This window comes from Homo sapiens, chromosome 1, assembly GCF_000001405.40.
Source record: "Homo sapiens chromosome 1, GRCh38.p14 Primary Assembly".
Classification (NCBI taxonomy): domain Eukaryota; kingdom Metazoa; phylum Chordata; class Mammalia; order Primates; family Hominidae; genus Homo; species Homo sapiens.
This window is the reverse complement of record NC_000001.11, coordinates 198,284,838-198,307,045: the sequence shown is the minus strand read 5'-3', so window position 1 is coordinate 198,307,045 and position 22,208 is coordinate 198,284,838. Positions and strand designations below refer to the sequence as shown.

At 33.6% G+C, this 22,208-nt stretch overlaps 1 protein-coding gene across 17 annotated transcripts in view, besides 1 other annotated feature; it reads right to left on the bottom strand.

Moving 5' to 3' along the window:
- Window positions 1-22,208, bottom strand: part of NEK7 (NIMA related kinase 7) — a 165,423-nt gene that overhangs the window by 15,375 nt on the left and 127,840 nt on the right. For 8 of the 17 annotated variants that reach the window (XM_047446560.1, XM_047446563.1, XM_017000345.2 and 5 more), the window contains 2 exons: window positions 14,007-14,101; window positions 9,806-9,919 (listed from right to left, as the gene is read on the bottom strand). The exons of 3 other annotated variants lie outside the window; for them this stretch is intronic. In XM_047446560.1, coding sequence (XP_047302516.1) covers window positions 9,806-9,919; window positions 14,007-14,101 — 209 coding nt within the window. 6 more of the 17 variants (XM_047446567.1, XM_017000346.2, XM_047446565.1 and 3 more) reach the window with 2 other exon arrangements.
- Window positions 10,434-12,614: an enhancer, noted in NCBI's record as "VISTA enhancer hs1322". NCBI's record gives its function as "enhancer in: hindbrain (rhombencephalon)[9/9] | midbrain (mesencephalon)[6/9] | dorsal root ganglion[6/9] | forebrain[5/9] | branchial arch[5/9]" and the evidence as "EXISTENCE:transgenic organism evidence [ECO:0001131][PMID:17130149]".

Sequence of the window (22,208 nt, the reverse complement as noted above, 5' to 3'; positions counted from 1 at the left end):
CTCTGAATTTTACTTAAATGTTCCTTTTAACAACAGGTAAGTCATGTCCATTGCAATAAATTATCTCAAATATTTTTAAAGAAAAGTGGGTTGTAAATTACAGAATAGATTTATATAGGCTGAATTCTGAATTTGATGTAATCTTCCTTGGTATTTATGAAATAACTATTTGTTGTTCTAAAGATATACTTAAATAGACCTGTTACTCTAGTGGGGGTAAAATAAGTTGCAAAAGTCTTTTGTTATAATAAGGGGAAAAATCACAAGTAACCTACTTTTGTGTTATAAACAACCACAGACTAAGTTTTATGCCTTTAATGTTAATAATTTGGTTTAAAAATGTGAATTCATATGGATCCATGAATAGTCTCTTGTAAGACTAAATAACAATCATAAACAAGGTCACATCTCACACCTTCTTCTTTTAATGAATACAAAATTATAATACCACTTTAAGATCGTAGAGTTATTTGTGCTCCTGCCATCATGAATAGGAGGATAAAATAGTCACCTGTGTATTATAAACCAGGAATTGTATGAAGAGCTAGGGTTTAAAATTTATTAATTAGAAGAAGAGAAAAACCCATTTTTACAATGTTAAATACACATAATAGGTTGACTCGTGGTTACTAAGGGGTCACTTTTTGAAGCTAGTGAACATACCTGGGGTTATAGTACTTAGATATTCCACGGAATTATTAGTTTTTCTAAGACTCCAATGGAGAACTGAAAATATAGTCCCCTGAACATTTTCAGATCAAAATATATCTCCTTATGGTCTCTGAGATAACTCTAGGGTTTCAACTAAATGCTAGTTCCAATGCTTGAGTAAAGAAAAACTATTTCCTAAAAGCTAATACGTAATATTTATGAACGACTCTATGCATTTTACATGATTTAATTTATTCAATCTTCATAAAAACTCTATGGGGGTGGACACTACTGGTATGTACAATTTTATAGAGTAGTAACATTCCTAAGGCCACAAAGGCATAAGGGGCAAAGCCTGGATTTGAACCGAAGCAGTCTAGCTCCAGCGCCCAAGCTTTTATATACAGTACTATATTATACTGCCCGGGAAAATTCTAACTTGATCTGCAGGGTCCCTCACGGCCACCTCTGCACAAAGGTGGGGTGACCTTCCACACAGTCAAAGATAGATTGTTAGGTTATTAGACTTTCAAAAGAATGTTAGCTCTAACACCAATTCCTCGGGTTTCTAAAATTAATGGATCTGCCTTCACATTTCATAGGCCAATTCTGATCATAAAACAAACCAAAAAATTTTCTCTCGAGTTCTGCAAAATTCCCAATAAGACACAGGCCTACTTTATCTGTGAGGGATATATTTAAATGATGACACCAAAATATTCAGATTATTATGACTAGAGGGATAATTTTAATGTTATTTCTAATCTGACTCATGAAATGGCAGTAAACTCCCTCCAAATGAAATATAGTTAATTTTTGTCACAGAACAATTTCTTTACTCCGGATTACAAACTTACATAGTGACCTGATGAACATAAGAAATACCTCTAAGTTTTTTTTTTCCAGATATCAAATAATCAAAATGAGATAAAGATCTTAGACATCTCCCTGTTTATTTCACATTTTTTAAAAGTTTCTGTTAACCTCCGGAAGGAATAAAGTTATTTTAAAAACTTTTAACATTTATCCAATACTGTGCAATGATTCTAAGTACTACATTATTAACCATGTTCAAGGAAAATGTGATCAGACAATAACATTAAGAACTTCATATCTATTCCTTCATGTCAGGTTTCAATTTCTAATAGTATTAATCAATCACTTGTTCAAAACCTTTCCTGTCCTGGAATTGAGGGAGTTAGCTTTGTATTTATTGCTTTAAATTTTAGAAATAATTCCAATATCCGTAGATATTACAACATTAATAAGAATAAATACAACTAAGTAAGCATTTCATGGTTTATGTTATCTCAGAAAATTTAGTTTGCATCACTTTCTACTTGTTTGTAAAAAATGTCTACTTTGTTGCTTTTATAAAAATTGTTTTATATGTTAAAAATAAGGCAAAAGTAAAGGTCTGAATATACAAAAGCCTTTGCAAAATCAGAGAAAACTGTTTAATTCAGATGCTTCACAAAAATTTAAAAAGCAACACAGAAACACTTAAATGAAACAAAGTATATAAAGTAAAAATAAAATGGATTCTCTACAACATTCCTAAGGGATTACGAGGTCATTAACCATAAGGAAATTAATGAATGTTCTCAATAAAGTAGAGAAAATACTAATACATTTCGATCTGTATATTTCTAAAGAGATATCAAAGCAAATAGGTTGATACCAGAAATATTAAAAAGAAGACAATGTTAACAGTCATTGTTGTCAGGGTGATAACCCAATTACAGATCAAGTTCAGTCACGTACAGGTAATAACAATAGGGCTCTTTGTGCATTACAGCTTTAGGTCACTAACACAATTCTCAACAGAATAATAAAGACTAGTGCTATTGGTACTGTTTCTTTTTCACCCCCATCTTAATCCCTCTGAGACCAATTATGTTATGTCAGCCTCCAGGATATACCCAATTTCCATCTACCCAAGGACACATTTTAGCACCCCAAAGTGGGTCTAATACATTAAAGTACATTATATTTTGGAGCTTTAGATATTCATACAAAATGATTAGGCGTATCCAACTTGTACACCAAAGTGTCACTAGTGATTGAATTGGGGGTAAAGGGAAAGGGAAAAGAAAGTAATCTTACACAGATATAAGGTAATGTAATGTCTATATTTCACAGCTGAAGATCATTCAGTGTCTTTTGAAAACTGTGAAAGTCTTACAGAAAGTTACATGATTTTGTAGGATCCCACAGGACATGTGAAATATAGGACACCGTTTTGGATTCATGTCATCAAGGAGCAAGTCCCCAGTGTTGCTTCAGAAGCATAGGTGAACAAAGGGACTGCTTAACTATATTTTTTAAACAAAAATAGAACATTCAAAGCTTAAAGATCTAATCTTACATGGCAACTTTCAGCAAGGTGGCCAACTGATACTGTGATGAGAATGTTAAATTTACCGAAACAATTTATAGGAAAGAAAATCAAATGTTATTAATAGCGTTTGAGATAATACTGTTAATTTTAATAAATAATGGCACAATTATATATTATTGATTTTATTATATATCTCTCTCTACATTTTAAAGTAAAATACTCTTACTTCAGCATTTGATTACATGGTTGCAGAGACTGCAGAAATATTTGTACAGAATTACCTTCAGACATTATTTGTGCCATATAAAATAATGTCCTTCTTTTAAATAATCTTGGGAAAATGTATTAGAAAAAAATCCTCTAACGCCAACTTAAACAACTGTGGTTAATTTCCAGCAACAACTCCAGAAAACTTATATAGATCTATTAAAATTTGTAAATCTAGCAATTACAAACTAAAAATATTTGGACTGCTCAAATGAATAAAAAAGTTTTATAAACTTAATTTAACTTCAAAGATGCAAAAATAATCTCTACCTGACACTTTCATCTTGTTTTTTTTTCATATTTACATAAAGCAGTTCTTTTCATGAACCAAAACAAAGGTCATGGTTTTTGTTACTGACTTAACTCCCTTAAAAATCTTCTTTAAATTTATTCTAAATTTAAAATAAACAAAAATTATTTATAAATATTCGGTTTGAAACCCAGTTATATTTTTAAAGCTTTCATTTAGTGATTTCCTTTCCTTAACAGTAGCCATTTGAAAACAAAGTATTAGTAAAATTATGACAAACTGTAACTTTTTTTGTTCAATATATTATGGATCAACATATTTGCTATCTTGAGATATATGCTTGGTTTTTCATACTCAAATGTATGGAAATAATTCCTACCCTTCTGCCGTTTCCTCATTCTTTCCTTTCAATGTTACATTGCCCCTGAGTTACCATGAGCCAGAAGAGTATTCTAAGCAAACACCTCATTGTGCCTCTGCCCTCTAACCTGCTATGCTTCTAGGGAAGGAGATTCCAGATAAAGATGGTGAGTGAAAGGGTTAAGAACAGAGAGGAGAAAAATAAAGAATTAGTAAGTCTAAGAGTAAAAATCATGAAATGCTCATTCATAAAACACCTGAGAGTTTACTTTGGGCTCTGTGTTCTTGTAACACAAACAGGGGGATGCCATGCCGCACAGGTACCACTGTGATGTCCAGTGTTTGCTCTAAACATTGTCTAGGTCTCTACTTACTCATATGTAAAGTGGGAATGATGACATTGCCCTTCTTTAGCAGGAAAATTGATAATCGCATTAAAGAAAATGTGATTTCAAAAGTTGAAAAAAATTCAGTATTGTAATTTTATTCAAAGCCACATAAATATGTTATACTCTCCAATAACCTATAAATATCTGAAATCAGTTTAGTTCAATTAAAAATTTATTTTTGTTATTCATACATAATCAACCATAGGAAAAAATACCTGTACTTTTTAATCCCTGTGTTCATTTTAAATACTCCAGAAAATCAAGACTTTTCTTGTTTCAACAATATAGGAAATGATGCCAGAAATTCTTAAACATTTGAGTGAAGCAGCAGAAAAGATATTATCAGGCTGCACTGCTAAACTATTCCAGGAGAAGCCAGAAAGAACCCTCCCCTCCTGCCTTCCATTTCTCTAACTTTAAAAAAAAAAAAAAAAGGAGAGGGACAGTGTCCACCTAAGAAAGAAAGTCAAAAATAATAGAAAGGAGATAAAACCAAAATATATTTATTAGTATTTATGAGGTAAAAGTTTATGATTCATTCATATTAGTTATTTGATTGAATGTGACCTTTCAGGTTGATATTTTATGGGTTAATTTTTTTGAGTGGGCTCATTACTTGATCTTTTTAAAAAACAAATAGTTTTCTATCTGTGGGCTGGAGGTATAAAGTCATAAAATGAACAGAAATTTAAGGTGAAACAAAAGAGACATTAAGTGATGTGGAAACTGATCACTGGGTTAATAATTCCGATTCCAAAATCACATTTTGTTGGTTTCTTCACCTAAAAAAGCGTTAATCAGACTTACTGAACTATCAAGTTTTTGAAAATATAATCAGAATATAATCACAATAACCACAAATATTGTATCCTTCAATAGTCTTTCTTATTTACAATACATTTACAATTATTACTAAATAAACATCTGCCATAGCCACTAGTTCAGATCGGCAAGCACTATTGTAATAATAGTCTACTTTATTAAAAACATTTTAACCGTCTTTCCAATGTTTGATAAATGCTTAAATTTCTTTTTCACTCAAAGCATTGTTTTTAGTCCTCAATTTATCTTTACTCAATTTTCTTCAATGAAGGGCACCCTTTATCCTTCTTTCTCATTTCCATTTCTTAAACTTTCATCTGCAAACCCTGTACTCAACTTACAGAACTTTCTTCCAAATCTATCTCCTCAAACCTAACATGAAAAGAAATGTTATGCTTTTTTGTTTGTTTGTTTTTGAGACGGAGTCTTGCTCTGTCGCCCAGGCTGGAACGCAGTGGCGCGATCTCGGCTCACTGCAAGTTCTGCCTCCTGGGTTCACGCCATTCTCCCGCCTCAGCCTCCCGAGTAGCTGGGACTACAGGCGCCCGCCACCACGCCCGGCTAATTTGTTGCATTTTTAGTAGAGACGGGGTTTCACCGTGTTAGCCAGGATGGTCTCGATCTCCTGACTTCGTGATCCGCCCGCCTCGGCCTCCCAAAGTGCTGGGACTACAGGCGTGAGCCACAGCGCCCGGCCCATAAATGTTATGCTAAAGCAACCACTGAGGCACCACTGTGTCAACCTTTCTTATGCCTTCTCTATTTAAACTAGGAATTTTTAATAACAAATAAAAAGTATTGAAAGAAACGAAGTATATATTTTGCTTGATATTAATGCTGACATTTTAACAGTATCAGTTAAATTTCAAAATAATTAACAATATAGCTATTTACTATTTTAGAGTTTCATGAGATAAGTTTGTGAACAAATAGATAATTTTGATGACTACTCCAATGTCTCTCAAAGAAATTAAATACTGAAATGGAAGGAAAACAGTCTATTTATCTTATTTCCCAGTAAATGGACACCTGGCATTACAGAGAAAATGATGCCTATGTAAAATAGAAAGTAATATCAATAAAAGAAAACTATCACATCCTCTGGCCTATCTTGTGAGTAATTTTCTGCCTTACTCTACAGAGAGTTCTTTGGAGAAGTTTCTCTCACTCATTCAATTGTCATTTATTGGTTCATCCTTTAATCTAACTCTGAGATTCCTGCCACATTCCCTCAATCAATCAATCAATCAATTACTAAGCCTTTTAAAATGTGTCAGGCCCCAGGCCCTAGAGATATACAGATAAGCAGCAGAGTTACTGATCCTCAAGGGCAGGAGCTTGACAGTCTGCAGGGGGAGGCATCCATGCAAGGAAGCTACTACAACATGGCGTAACTGCCAAGGGAGGAGGCTATGGGGAGAGAAGAAAGGATGTCAGGGAAAACTGTGCAGGAAAACTTTATGTCCAAGCTATGTTTGAAAGGAAAAGAGTGAGTTTCTTTGGAAAGAACAGGAAAAAGAGGTATTTCAGAAAGAGGAAACATCATCTATAAAAGCATGAAAATTTATGGAACTTCTAGTAGAACTTGCATTGATAAGAGTTAGAGAAAGAAGAAAAGAATATCCGATGATCAATAATTCTTGAGAGATGAGCCCAGGTCAGTTTACGACGGGCCTTTTGAGTCACAATTCCTTATACATAAGAAAATGTTTGCTTCACTGTCACCAACAATACCAAGTTTCATTTAAACTAAGAGACATCTAAGGAAAGATATCTATCTTTTCAACCCAGGACTCTTGCTAAACATAGTAATTGCCCATTGATACATGGATGAGATCATTACTAGAAAAGGAGAAAATACAAAACATCAAAAGAAATCAGAAATAAATATATTTAAGTCAGCCATAAAATATAGATTCCCTAATATCACTTATGTGTAGCTGAAATATTTCAATCCAGAACCCTAATTATTTGTACACACTAAGACTCACATAATTCAAAAGAAAAGATTTGACATTCAGGCTTATTTTTCTAAAACTTCTCATTTTTTGTTTTAATGCTTAATTGTTATGTATGTTTTAGAATATAAGATAGGAAATTAAAAGAAAAATCCCAAGCTTTTAAACTCTAGGTTCTTAGATAGAATGACTATATCTAGAAATAAATTGTGTAGGGTTCCTGAGGATTCCTATCAACTGAGGCTGACTGGCAGGTATGGCTAGTATTCTCATGAAATCCTCCCTTAAAATCTTGTTTGGGCAGTAACCTTAAAAATTTGGCAGTAGCTACACAAATTTGGTAAGCTCATAAATACATACCTGATAAGTTGATTTGCTTAAATTTTTTTATTTTTCAAATAGTTACACACTCTGTTATCATTGTAGCTATAAAATTAACAAAATAAACTGTCTTTTAATTAAAAGTTCACTGTTGAAAAACTCTGTACTTCACTTTTTATTAGTTCCTGTATTTTGCCATACTAACAAATTAAATGATATTCTAGATTTTTAAAAGATCTAAAAAGCCTACTTTACTTAAAAAATTTAAGACATTATAGCACTACCAAATTTGGGATTTTTGGCTACCATGAATTCTGAATAATTATTTTACAAATTGAGTTCCTGCTTAAGGAGAGAAAATATTTATTAGCACATCTGCATTTCAAAGCTCTTGTTTTGAGAACTCTTCTACATAACTAAATAGATTAAAGTAACATTGTTATACAGTCCGCATATTTTTATATTCATTTCTTTAGTAAGAATTATTTTCCACATTTACCTAGAAACTACAGCTTTCTATTTCATCAGGGAATGACAACACATTTTACCAATACGAGGAATCACATTTTTTTGGAAAGTACACCATATAATGTGTTTTGCTTTACAGCTCTTTTCGAAACTGGTAACTATATAGAGTGAAGTAAAAAGTGGAATCTATTTTCCTTTCCCAACTCTAAGACCTTCTATCTGGGCCAGACTTTGATATTTGCCCCTTGGCTGAGAATCCGCATATCCAACTTCACACTTAGCTGCAGTGAAGTAGCCCTGCAGGCAGGCCGACTTCAACGAACCACTAGTGGTATCATCATTAAAATCCTGCTGAAGGTCACCATGGTAACCGCCTGCTGAGGCTTCACTGCTGCACTCGGCATCTCCTAATCAGCTACCATGTGAAATGCAAATTCAGACAGTCTGAAAATTAGTCAAGAAGAATAGGGGATGAGGATGCAGATATGTGAAATATTCATGCGCTTCATGGAAAAAAGAAGACAGCATGAATGACACAACAAAGAAAGGCCCCTGACATTCTTGCTATCATTTTGCATTATTGTTCACACCCCACTGTATTTCCAGGCCTATAGTTCTGAAGTTGGTTTTGTGAAATGCCATATTTATAGTCTATACCCAAAATAGTAATTAAAAATGGCTAACATAATAGTATTAACATCAAATAAAGATAATACTTTTAAATTATCATCACTGCTCTGTAACAGTTTATTCTAATTACCTGAATACAAATGCTATGCAGAAAAAAACAGGCATCACTGATTATCAGTATCAAAACTACCAGAAGAAAAAGTGCCTATTATATTCTAGGAACACAAATGCTTTACATGTGGTGAAAATTCTTTAGAGATATTTATTATTCAAGTTACACGAACTCAAATTTCCTTACATAATACTAAGACCCTATGCTATTCGTTTCACAATAGAAAGACTGACATGATTACCTAATAAGTGAACATTATAATTGTTTTATATTTTTCCTTTTCTCCTTTCCATTTTCCTGAGGCAAAAAATCTGTTGCTCATGAGAAGGTGCGATGTCCTAACTCAACACACTATTTTCTCTGGGTAGGTCCCTGATGAGTATTCCATAAAGAGCTAATATGAAACATTTTAGTTGACCTGAGATACTGCTATTCTGCATACATCCTCCTTAAATATTCGTAAAATGATGATACGTTAGGCTAAAATGGGAGATGTTTTGTTCAATGAAAGACTGGACATAGGGTAGAGCCAAAACAACTCACTTCAATGGGTTACCAAAGCAAGCAAGCAAGCATTCAGACTCAGATCTTAATAAGGTAGCCTTCTAAGATTTTCAGCCACAACTAACACACTTTTTAAACATGTCTACAATGATAACCTCGAAACATTTCCCCAGTAGAATCTGAGTATAGCAGTGAGGTGATGATAGGACAGGTATTGTCAAAGGAGAGAAGGTAAAGCTTAAATAATAAGGCTCAGAGATATGTAGTTAAGAGATGCGTGTTTCGAGTTTTGGAAAACATGGACGAAAGGGAAGTTCTGCCAAAATAGAAAATTACAACTGTGTGCTGGTCTGGTCTGGGACTGTGAGAATAAGGAGTTAGCCCTGTTAGGAAGGGCCATCAGACATGATGATTAACTAGAGCCTAAGTATGAGCATTAATTCTGCCCTTTGCACGATTCAGTACACTGTAGAGTCAGCTACTATTCTTATCACACCTAGAAAGTGGCCAATTTTACACCACATGCTGTGTTGTGTTGCACTACACATTATCAATTGCAGAGTCAACTCTTTAGACAGCAAGTCTCCAAGAGAATGAAAACAGAATTAAAAAGTGCTAGTTCTGCTACCTATACCATTCATTTTCATTTTTGGATAAAGTAAAATTTCTTGGTAAAATAAAAATGTTAGCAAAATGGACAACAGAAGAACATGTGGGCTGAAAATGACTTACTTCTTCTGAATAGTGATCTGAAGGAAGAGGTGGGTAGTCACACTGTTCTATCTTCTTACACAGTGAGTATAAATTCATTTTGTCACCATAGAAAGGACTTTGTAATGCAGCCATCTGTAAAATGCCCCCAATGAAACTGATATAGTTAGATGGTAACTTAAAAGGTGATTTCATCAAGTATATTATACGGGGGTAGAAAATAATCACAAATATTTTAAATAGAGATACCTGGGCATTTTGATTTTTATGAATATCCCCTTCTGAGGAAATTTATTAAGAGTTAAAAATCTTACTGCAACTTTTGGTTATTTTTTTTCCAACATTTAAAATTCCCTAAAATAGAGAATTAGCATATTTCTTTATATACAAATGCAACATAAAACAATAAAGAAAAATAACACATAATTTAAAAACTCTTTGTACCTATAATGACACAAAAACAACTACTATATCTCACAACAAAACAGTCATCACAAGGTGTAGCTCAACCATACAGAACAAACATGAAACTGAAGTTAAAACTGAATTATAATCTAGCATAGGGAAGAGAATGCAGAGCATTTTCTCTTGCATAATAGTTTCTGAAGATAAAGGTTATTCTGAGAAAAAGCAGTCTTTTCAATTTAAATGCAATAACTGATCCCCAAATAGTTTACAATGAATTAGAACTCTTTTGATAATGTCTCAAAAACATTAAATTAAATATGTTCAAAAGCTCTATGAGTCATAGCTGTAATTCAAGGCTTCCAAATGAGATTTTTATGCAGAAAAACACGACCCAAAGGATGAACAACTTTAAAAAAGACATTATCGAATTTAAATTTATTTTAAGACAAGGTTCTAACTTGACATTTAAAGTGCAAGCAAGTACTGTGGTAAGCAGTGTTACAAACTAAAAATTCAATTTAAAATGTTCGCATCCTGTTCAAAACCTTCTAAATCTTTGAACCACAGCAGCAAGAATACAACACGGAGTGCCAGGCTGCCCCAAAGTCAGTCACCCTTTTCTACATGTGCTAATAAGTTTGATTTTGGAAGGACAATGTGTACATTCCCCAGACAGGCAGAGTGTGTGTGAAACACGCTAGTCCATGCTGTGCTACTCAGTGAGCGTCAGTGGGGACAGGACAAGCTGAAAATGGCTCTCATCTGTCTTCTGTGCTCCAGACAGAGCTTTAACTCCTTCAGAGCCTTGATGAGAAGGGGATGGGATTGGAAATCAAAACTGGAAAGTAGCTCAACACATTTTTATCTTGCCTATGTTTTACATAAAACGTGCACACAACTATATAGAAGTACCTTAGGAAGAGTTGTTTCACATGACGAGAAAAAAGTTAAAAACAATCTGAATGCCCCTAATCATATAAAACACTCTGAGAGGAAATTTCTAAAAGAACCACAATAATAATAATAATAATAATAATAATAATAATAGTGGTTTTTGTTTTAAATGCAAGGACACTTTAAGATCTTACCTTAAAAATACACTGTATATATAAACTATAGTCTCTCCGTGTTTGCAAAACCTTAAGTAAATGTACATATATTCATTATCATATTCTAGGCGTTCATTATAGTCCTTTTTCTCAGTACTGCAGAGTGTTAAAAAAAAAAAAAATCTGAATGTCCCCTAAGGAGTTAAACAGGAATAGTATATTTTCATGCATCTCCTGCTTTGACAGATGAAAAATGTCAACTGTCCTGTTTTTATTTTCAAGCTTTTGCACTATTCATCTGGTTCATTAGTGCATCTCGATGCTGCCCCTGACAGCTGCTCGCCCTCTCCTCCCAGCAGCTGAATTTTTCAGGCTAATTTGATCCTCCACACTGAGACGATCGCTAGAATGATTGACTTACTCCCTGACCTCCAGGGTCTGACTTTCCTGATTAGTATTCTGGGGGTGTCGGAGGGACGAAAGCCCACTGTCTGTCTTCGGGGCTGGTGGCAGCTCTCTTTTTTTTTGAACTGTAAGCCACCAACCTACAACCCTGTAAGGATGCAATTGCTGCGCTGAACAATAAAGGAAATGTGTAAAACCTACTTTTCCATGTAAAGGTCCGTGTAGCAAAAGCACAGCATCTTGATTTTAATTAGTAAAGTCTACTTTGTTGCATATCAATTAAAACTGTACTGCTAGTTTTTTTTTTTTTTTGAGGTTTCAGGAATATTTGAAAGTCTAATTTTCTGAGTTTAAAATACATTTTCAAAAAAGGCTTCCTACGTCTTCATTGTTAATAGTAATTTTTTAGTGGGTACAATACAAAATACGTGATGTTATGACCAATTTTTAAAAGCCAAACTGTTAGCTATTTCTATTAACAGTACATTGAAACACAACTGAAAGGAAATAGAACATAAATTTAAATTAAAGCTTTAGAAAAATTCTAGTTCTTCTAAAAGATTTGCATGGAGAAATCAAGAAAATGCGTTGAGATGAAAACTAACATTAGCATGATAATACTTTAACTCAAAATCATCCACAATACATATAACTCATGGATGTAGAAATGTCCAAAGATGTTATTTTTATTTTTGTGGCATTTTAAGTCCATACAAAAATGGGACACCGTCTCTCAAAGGCAAATTCAAAATGTGATAAATTATTTCAGTTTTGACATGAGTATGCTAAATCTAAAAGAATTATGCAAACTTCCTCTCAAAAACCACTTACTACCTCAACAGAACTTTTTCTTTTTTATTGCTAAATTTAATCTAGTTATTGGAAACCAATTTGCTGTTTACTTTTAGGGATTTGAAGAGAATATGTTGCTTTGATAATATTAGACTATGGCCTAAAGGAATCTAAGGTTAACTAAACAAATATAAAATATTTTAAATGTACAGAGTGACTAACTTTTAAACATTATAGTAACAATATAAACAATCCAGTTCTTTTTAGGATTGTACCAAATTATTAACAAAATATAACACAGTGAGCGTAATTTCTTGTAATCTCGTGCACATATAAAAACATGTTTTGTTACATTACTGACTCATAATTTTTCATAACAAAAATTATCCAAAGTATGAGTTTATTTAAGAATATTTAAAAATCCTTTCATTTTAAGTAGTTGTTAGTCACTTTAGTAGGAAGGACAAAACAAATAATTTCAGGTTCCTTAAATTAAGGAAATTTGAATCTGCAATGAATAAAATAATAAAAGATCATGACATACATTTTTAAAGAGTCAAAAAACACCTCCTAATGCTCTACTTCCAAGTAATGGTGGTACAATTAAAATAGATGATTTCATCATATATTTCATTTAATTCTGGAGGACAAGAGACAGGAAATATATATAGTAGGAAATGCATTGGTTTCTATTTATCCTCTTTAGACTTCTCTCATATACACAGAGATATGAAAATGATTCCTACACAGGGATATGAAAATGCTTCCATGTATTACATTTCCTCACTTTATTAAAACCTACTTAGATATAGACTAATTTTTAATTAACAGCTTTGACTCGAAGCCTATATTCCTAGGAAAATTATCATTCAATTAAAAAAACAAAATTACAGAAGTCACTAGCTTGAGATACTTTTATACCAACACAGATGTAAAATGTGTTACTAACATGCTTTCTTTTATCCACCCAAATTATTACAGTGCAACATTTCTAGAGGACCTACCTACATGATTCCATCTTCCTTTGATAAATGATCACCAGTAGAACAAAAGAGAGAGTATTTCACTGAGCTTTACCAATACAAATTGTTACTCATGGAAACTAAATTGATAACCTAGAAGAACTATCTGTTTGCATACTATCCTTAATGCTAAATTACACCTGTGTAAAAGTGAAATAAAATATTGATAAAAATATTTACTATACTTTCATATATTAAATCCAATCCATTATGCCACTCCTGTAATGCATGGATCAAGATTTACAGATGTTCAAACGTATATTTTTACAAATGCAAGATATAGAGAAAGGCGTTATATTAACATAAAAGTTAATGCTTTAAAAATAAACTTCTCATCAAAAGAACACAATTTAAAAATATATTAGATGTGTAGGAATGTATAGTTATTAAATTCCATTATACAAAGTTATTAACCCAACGAAAATTCTTCACAATTAAAAAGGTGATTCTTAAACATCCAGAAAAAAGTAAGTATATACTATAAGGATAGAGGAAATATACTAAGTAAAACTGCATCAATATTTGGAATTTATCAACATTACCTACCTCATATAGTAGACAGCCAAGAGACCAGATGTCAGATTTGAAGTTGTATCCATTTTCATGTATTCTCTCTGGAGACATGTAATAAGGCGTACCAACTGCAAAAAAACAAACCAAATAAAGTAAGAGGTATATAAAAATAAAGATACAGCTGTGGTCAGAAACTACATACAAAATTTTGAATTTAAAAACATCACCAAAATAATTCATTAGGATCGAAAGCTGTTTTTGAGAATACTAAAAACTTTTTAATTTCTTCTTTATTCCTTGACCCTTAAATAGTACACTAACAACTGCACTAAACAATGTGGTGGGTTAAACTTTATTTCCTTTTGATCAATCCAAGAAGAATCAACGGAGCATAACTAAGGGAAAAAAAGTAATTCTGCCAAGAATACCTACTTAAATGATTCATGTTGGCTTTATTTTTTTAAAAAAATATGGCTTGAATATCCCAAATAATTAAGCATGATAATTTATTTAAAAATAAATAATATAACAATTTAGTAGAGTATGAGTAAATAAATCATATTTGTTAACTTTTACAGAAACATCCTTTAGAACACAGCGTGGCTGTTAACAAATGATATAACACTTGATGCCTTACTTCCACTTTAGAAAGAATACCACAGACTTTTGTACATCAAAGGATTATATAATAACAAATGTGAAAGGGCACTGGCATCTCTGGAAAAATGTCTTGAGTTATTGTTACTACTGAGACCTTTTTAGAGACAAGACACTCAAGATAATTTTTGTTTTAATTGCTTGCTTTGATGTGCTAATACTTTTTCTTTTTTTAATGACTGTTTTAGAAGATGCTATTAAACACTTGAAAATAAACAAAAGCATATATGTTACACTTTGAAGTGTAAAAATATTTAAGTGACTTTCAAAGTGAGTATCTTTAATTTCAAACTCAGATGGCTATTTCATCATCATTAGTCTAAGGCTTTTTGCCAAATAGAAAGTCAAAGTTTAAGAATATTTAGAATCTTATTTACCTGAGGGAAGGGCTACCAAAAATATGTTGCTACTCAAAAAGAAAAGGGCATTTTCCTTTTTCTATTAATTTTCAAGACCTCCCCAGGTGTTTACTATAAATCTTAAATAAGACTAACAAGACTGAATAGGGGTCTTTAGTCAGAAGCAACAAAAAGATTCACACCAATAATCAAAGCACTATACTCAAAGGCAGGAGTCAGTTTGCCAAAAGAATAAAGTTATAACCTAATAGTTATGTGTGGAAACTATACTAAGCTAAAGGTGAAAACATCATGTACCATGACCCATGATATCCTACCTGTATCGGAATCCGTTTTTACTAATCATGGATAGCCCTAGTCAGACTGGATGAAAGAAAAGTATTTATGAAAGTGATGAAGAAACGTTAAAAAAAAAAGTATGCAAACAGAAGGATAAGAAACTTAAATAAAATACGAACTATTAATATACAAAAATTAATGAGACAAACTTTAAGACATAAATTATTTAATTGTAGCATTTACTTTGAAGACAAACAGGTAAATACGCCAATTTCTATAGTGTCAGAAAAGCAAAGAACTTTGGAAAACAGCTAGGTTTAAAGAATCTGTATTATTACTGTGTAAAATAAACACAAGCTATCTAGCTTTGGGAGTTCTAACTACTTTCACCTGTAGTTTGCATAAGTGACACCAATTATTGGAAATATTCACACATTCTCTCCATTTAAGGAAGGATGGTAGGTACAGTTGGAATAATAAACAGGCTCTGCTCCTGGTTTCAGGACATAAAGCAAGTGACTGGCAGTGAGGAATGTGCAGAGAGAGGCTTCACAGAATCCACAGGGGGGCAACTGAAAACACTGAGGCTTGAAGGTTCAGAGTTTACCAAAAGCAAAGGTAATTTTAACCAGTAGCTCTGGGAAACCTGCTGTACATTAGGGGTTTGATATGAGTGTGAAAGATTGATGATAAGGAAAAAGAAGAACAAATGCTAGCATTTTACAGAGATTAGCCCCAGCATAACACCTTAACTGCAACACAAACTGAACTCAAGGACGACCCAAGTGAAGGGAGCAGAGGAAAAGAATGATTAGGAATTCTACTAAGCTAAACTTAAAATGTAAAAAATGTTAATGTACAAAAATCCTTTTTCAGTGAGCTGCTGGAGGTCACTGCAAAAAGTTACACACTCAGTTAACACTGATACTTTAAATTTAGATACTGATTCTTAATATAAATAACAAGCCTCTTTATATTAAATAAGCATGTTTTATTTCAATATTTAAACTACATATATTCGTTAGTATATATTAAAATGTAAAGCTAAGGATGCTACTCACCTCTTTGATCAACAAATTTCCAACAGTCATTATATAAGATGAGTAACTTTGTATTCTGCACTATAATTATTAATAGGATAAATTCATAATTCACTAGGGAACACAGGCCTAAGAGGGAGGTCTACTGTCTCCTGACACGCTTCTTCATATGCCCCTCCGTTCTGGACAAGGACTCACGCTGACTGACACTGAGCAAAGAGGTTCAGCCCCATCACGTAAACTGATTAGTCCTTACCTCTCTCTATCTAGCAGAGAGGCCTAAAAGTTTAAGTGCTCAGGAAAATTTGCAGTACATTTAAATGCAGTGATATGTTTTCAACATTTCAAAATTAATGAAGATATAATTATTTCCAAAAACCTTTTTCAGAGATTCATGACAGCTGTGTCTACGATTACTGTTGCCTCAAGAATGTTGTGACTTCTTTTAACAGCTGTACAAGAAAAGAGAGTTATGGAGTGATATGATTAGACATTAAAATGATCATGCGAATTACTGTCCTATGTATTGAGAAGCTTGAAGACTACAGCACATGTAATTCCACTTATCTTTCAAGAATTTATGATTGTAGGTAAAATGAAAGTACATTTTGCAATAGCAGATACTTATGCCACTTTAACCTTCGGACATGAATAAAAGTAGGAAATGGATGATAACATTATAAAAAACAGAGGCTGACATTAGAGGAAAACTGGTAACAACTAAAAATCTTACCTGACCTTTCTTTATTCTATATGAATATTACATTAAAATATACTAAGACAGTCATCCATATGTAAAAATCCCTTTCATTACATTGACTTATTCTAGCTATATGAGAAAAGTTTTATATGGTATATACTCCATAAACAATAAATATATTCTAATCTTTATCCTGAATAAAATGAAGACTGATATTTAGAAGTTCTGCAATATGTTTAAGTGAACCAACAAGTTCTGCTAACATGTTGCTATTATGGAAGATATCACTAAATTGATAATTTTCATCAGAGCAGGTTATATACAGAATAGTTTAGCTAACAATTTAGCACTGTAATCTCTGCAAAAATTTGAATGAAAAAAGAAAACAACGACTGAAGCATCCTCACATGCAGTTAGCTTTGGATTGCTTTTTTGTGTGTTTTTTAAACAAGGGAGGCAGCACAAAACCAGTGAAAGATAAATCTCTTTCACATCTTACATTTGCCACTAACTAGTTAGGACCATTTAACTTCTCTTTTTATTTCCTTCCCTCATCTGTAAGATAAAATGAGAAAGATGAGCTGATCTCTGAGGTCCCTTTTGCTTTAAAATTCTGTACCACTTACAGAAACTCTACAAAAATCCATCTGGAAAACAAAATGGAAAAAAAAATTGTCCTTTTTAAACTATTACTTAGGACAGCTGAGTGAGAGTGTTTTAAGTCGGAGAGTACAAACAAACGAACTGAGTTTAGAAATATAGTTTCTTTCTCCTAGAATCAGAGCAAACTACAGAAAAGAAAGCTTTGAATATTCCTTGCTGGGAAAATTAAAAGGAGACAAGTCATCTTACACCTCAGTTCGATATAAACACACACACACACACACACACACACACACACACACAACTTCAGGGAATAGGACTTAATTTCCATTCTTTCCTTCATACTCATGAGTCAGCCCAGAAATTATGTTGGCAGACAGAATGGAGAGAGGCCAAATTTATTTCATTGTTAGTAGTATTAACTGAGGTCAATATAGAATGGCTGAGTAGGAGATCAATATTTCTTCTGCAAAAGACATTTATAAAATAAAATTTGTCATCTTTGAAGTGCAACCGATAACATTTAAGAGCTTTAATAATGCTGAGGAAAAACACCTAAGCATATTTTATTGTTATTGTTGCTGTGCTCCAGGCCCTGTGTTCAATGCATCCTATGTATTATCTTGCTGAATTTTAACAAAAGTTTACCATGCCCTGTTGCATGGCATACACAATTCTAGGTCCTGTGGTGACAGAAGTAAACAGGACAAATCCTTGATCTTGTGGGGCTCACAGTCCAGTGAAAACGGGGACTATTATAAGGTAGTTTTATAAGATGTTTCAATTATTATACTGCTTTAGAGAGAAGGCATAGGGAAGTTGGTCAGGTAACTTGCCAAAGATCATAAAACTGGTAAGCTGTAGACCTGGAATTCAAACCTAAGTAGTTCTTGTCTCTTGCATTTAAGCAGATGGTTATTTCATTATAACTGACCACTGTGAAATACAACTGAAAAAAATATCTGTATCTTTCCAAATTAAGAAGCAGAGAAATCTTCTAAAAGTCACAGCATGTACATAAGAAAAACCAGGAATAAGGGTCCAGGTTCAATGGGCCACATGTGAAAATTATGCTACTCTGCAGCTACGCTGATTTAAATAAATACCTGTTATGGCGGCTGGGAGGTTAAAGGTACACCGTTTAAAATTAGATAATAGCTCCTTACCAGAGCAATTACTTAAGAAGGGATTGAAAGTTAAAAATAAATCAGTGAAAGCAGCCTATAGTACTGACTGAACATATGCTGCCTTTACAGCTCTCAACCACCCTGAACAACGAAGGGGAATAAGCCAAAGATCTATCTAGAGGTGCTAGGAAAGGTGTGGGAAAAACAAGTATGTGACCACAGGTGGCACCTGGCACCAAAAATGAAACTGTTTTAATGCCTGGTTCAAGAACACTAATTTTCTAAGTTGAAATCAGAGGATATATCACACTTGGAAATAGTGTGGGCAACACGAATTGTACACTCAAGAGACTCTAGTGTGAAAATTCTGATATCGAGCTTGAATGATGGCCATGCATTTACTCTGCTGGCAATATTACAAAATCAAAGAACCATTTGTCTCACTGAGAAAGGTAAACAGCAGTTCAAGCAATCCTATAACAAAAACAAAAACAAGAACATAATTTCCTCCCAAGAGGTTTCAAATATTTGTTTAGCACAAGGATCAATATCAGAGAGTTTTAGTTAGCTTTTTTTTTTTTAAAGCAAAAATCTGTCTCATTTTTAGGATGTACAACAAGCACATACAAGTAAACTCACACACAAACATGCAGTAAGCTAACAATGAAAGAAAATGATTTGTTTATAAATTTTTATTAAGCCAAGTGTGGCATTTTCTCCCTTGAAAAGTAAATGTAAATTACAATGCAATAAAGTACCTATAAAGACCTATAATAAAAATGTGAAAATCTAAAGTCAAAATATCTCTTCAAAAAAGAAATATTTATTTTCAGTAAATGTAAACTTCCTCTAATTTTGGAACCTCTTCCACAGAACCTCTCTAGCTTTTTTTTGTTTGTTTTTGTTTTTGTATTGAGACAGAGTCTTGCTCTGTTGCCCAGGCTGGAGTGCAGTGGCGTGATCCACACTCAGCTATTTTTTTGTATTTTTAGTAGAGATGGGGTTTCACCGTGTTAGCCAGGATGGTCTCAATCTCCTGACCTCGTGATCCACCCGCTTCGGCCTCCCAAAGTGCCGGGATTACAGGTGTGAGCCACCGCACCCAGCCTAGAACCTCTCTAGCTTTTAAACAATTTCACCTAATTATGCTTTAGAGGAGGATATGAATGTCTCCCTAGCTGTCGCGTCCATTAAAATGTCTATTAAATTAGTCTATTAAAATGGCGTTACAGGCAGAAATTTTGCCTCCATGATCTTCGCCTCTTGGTGCTATACCTGTTTATGTTACGGTAGTGGCAAGAGACTTTGCAGCCATAAAGGTTGAGGACTTCATAATAGGAAGATTACCCTAGATTATCAGTAAGAGATGCAACAGAAGGGGCAGGGGAGATTCAAAGTGTGAGAGGGACTCTCCACCACTGCTAACTTTTAAAAGGGAGGAAGGAAGCCAGGAGCCAAGGAATGAGGGCAGCCTCTAGAAGCTGGGAATGGCCCTCAGCTCACAGCCAGTGAGGAAACAAGAACGTCAGTCCTACAAAACCAAAAAACTGAATTCTGCCATAATCTGAATAGACAAGAAATGGACTGAACCTCCAGAAGTCCTGCAATCCTACAGATACCTTGATGTTAGCCTGGTTAGAGTCATATTGGACTTCTGACCTACAGAACAGAAAAATAATACGTTTCTGTTGTTTTAAGCCACTAAGTTTTTGGTAATGTGTTAGGGCAGCAATTGAAAATAAATACAAACGTGTTAATGATTCATGCATTGAGTGGGAGAATGAAACACTCAATTCTATGTGGTATGGACCTACCTCACACCAAGAATTACATAAGGACCGAGGGGGTAAGAGAAAAATGCATATGGTTCAAAAAAAAAAAAAAAGTGTGACCTCTAAAAGCTCACTGGATCATTTTGGGATGGTGTTCTTTTTTGTCAGGGGTGGCGGAGCAGGAGAAGCCAATACATTTGCCAAAAGAAGAATAATATGGTTAATAAGGCAATGTATACAGGTTTAAATTATGGTCCTTTGTAATTTAAATGAACTCTGGCTTGGTCACTGACAGAAATCTAAACTTGATAATCATACCTATCTCAAAGAGATGTAGAATAGAAATCAGTTAATGTGCTACATGGCACTTAGTCCATATGAGTATTTGAAGCTTGATAAGTAACTATTTTTTATTATAAATGTTTTAAATTGACCAAAATAAGCTCTTATCAAAAGCAAGTCCAGCAGGGATAACTGCAGATTTATTGATCCAGAGAAAAGTCACCAGGGATCAATACTCCAGTGAACCTCATGAATCTTTCTGGATTTAAAGATAATCTCTCTGCTTAGAATTTTCCAATTTAGAAAGATGTAAATTTCCTAACGGCTCACTCTTCATTCACCACTACCACCCATTCCCATTAAGAGAGTTAATTACCCTTTGGTTGCAATAGCTACAAATATGTCACAAAAATAAACAAGTAGAAAAAGGATACAAGCAGTATTTTTAAAAAAACTGAAATTAGGTATTTTTCCTCTATCTCAAAGCCATGAACAATACTCATATTCATTATTTCTGATTCTCCTCTTCCTGAACAAATAGGAGAATTACATTTCCCTGTCCCTTTGAGATACTCATTGCCATGAGATCTGTTTTGGCCAATGAAATGTGAATGGAAGTAATCTTTTACATTCAAGCAGAAGGGCTTAATTAAGAGCCAGTAAGTGATTCTCCATGCTCTCTTCCCCTCATGGGATCACAAAAACGTATGTTGATATGAATATAACACAAGACTGAAGCTGCCTGGAATGCCAAGTCACCACATGAAGGGACGTCAGCTACCTTAAAGACCAACAAGCGTCTACAACTCACTGTGGGTGACAAAAGATTAGAACATACTTCATTGCTAAGCAATTGAGGCTTTTTTGTATTGTTTCTTCTTGCAGCATAATCTAACCTATACTTACTGATACACTTAGTCAAATTCACCCTTTATGTATGTAGTCTGTCTCTAAGCTTCATTCATTTAATCAATATTTATTGAGTATCTATTACGAGCAATCCCCTCTTCTAGGTATCTAGGATACATGAGGGAACCAAATACACAAAGATCTCTGTCCTCATAAAACTTACATTTCGCTGGGAGAGACAATACATACAAAGCATAATAAGTAAATTACACGGCATGTCAGAAGATACTAAGTCCTAAGGAAAAAAGAAAAAATAAAATAGGGTAAGGTTTAGGAGTTCTAGGGGTGGAGTGGGAGTGAAGCGGGGGCAGTCAGGTTCAGTTTTAAATAGAGTGATCTCAGTTTTCTCATCTGTAACTTACTGTACCCACAACACTGAGGAACAGAGGAGAAAACGTGCTTTAAAATGCTCAGAAATTTTTAAATGCTATACAGTACTCGTATTCATTGCCATTACTGTTATTGTTAATATTTAGTAGCAACAGAGGATTCTCCTGGGTCACTATT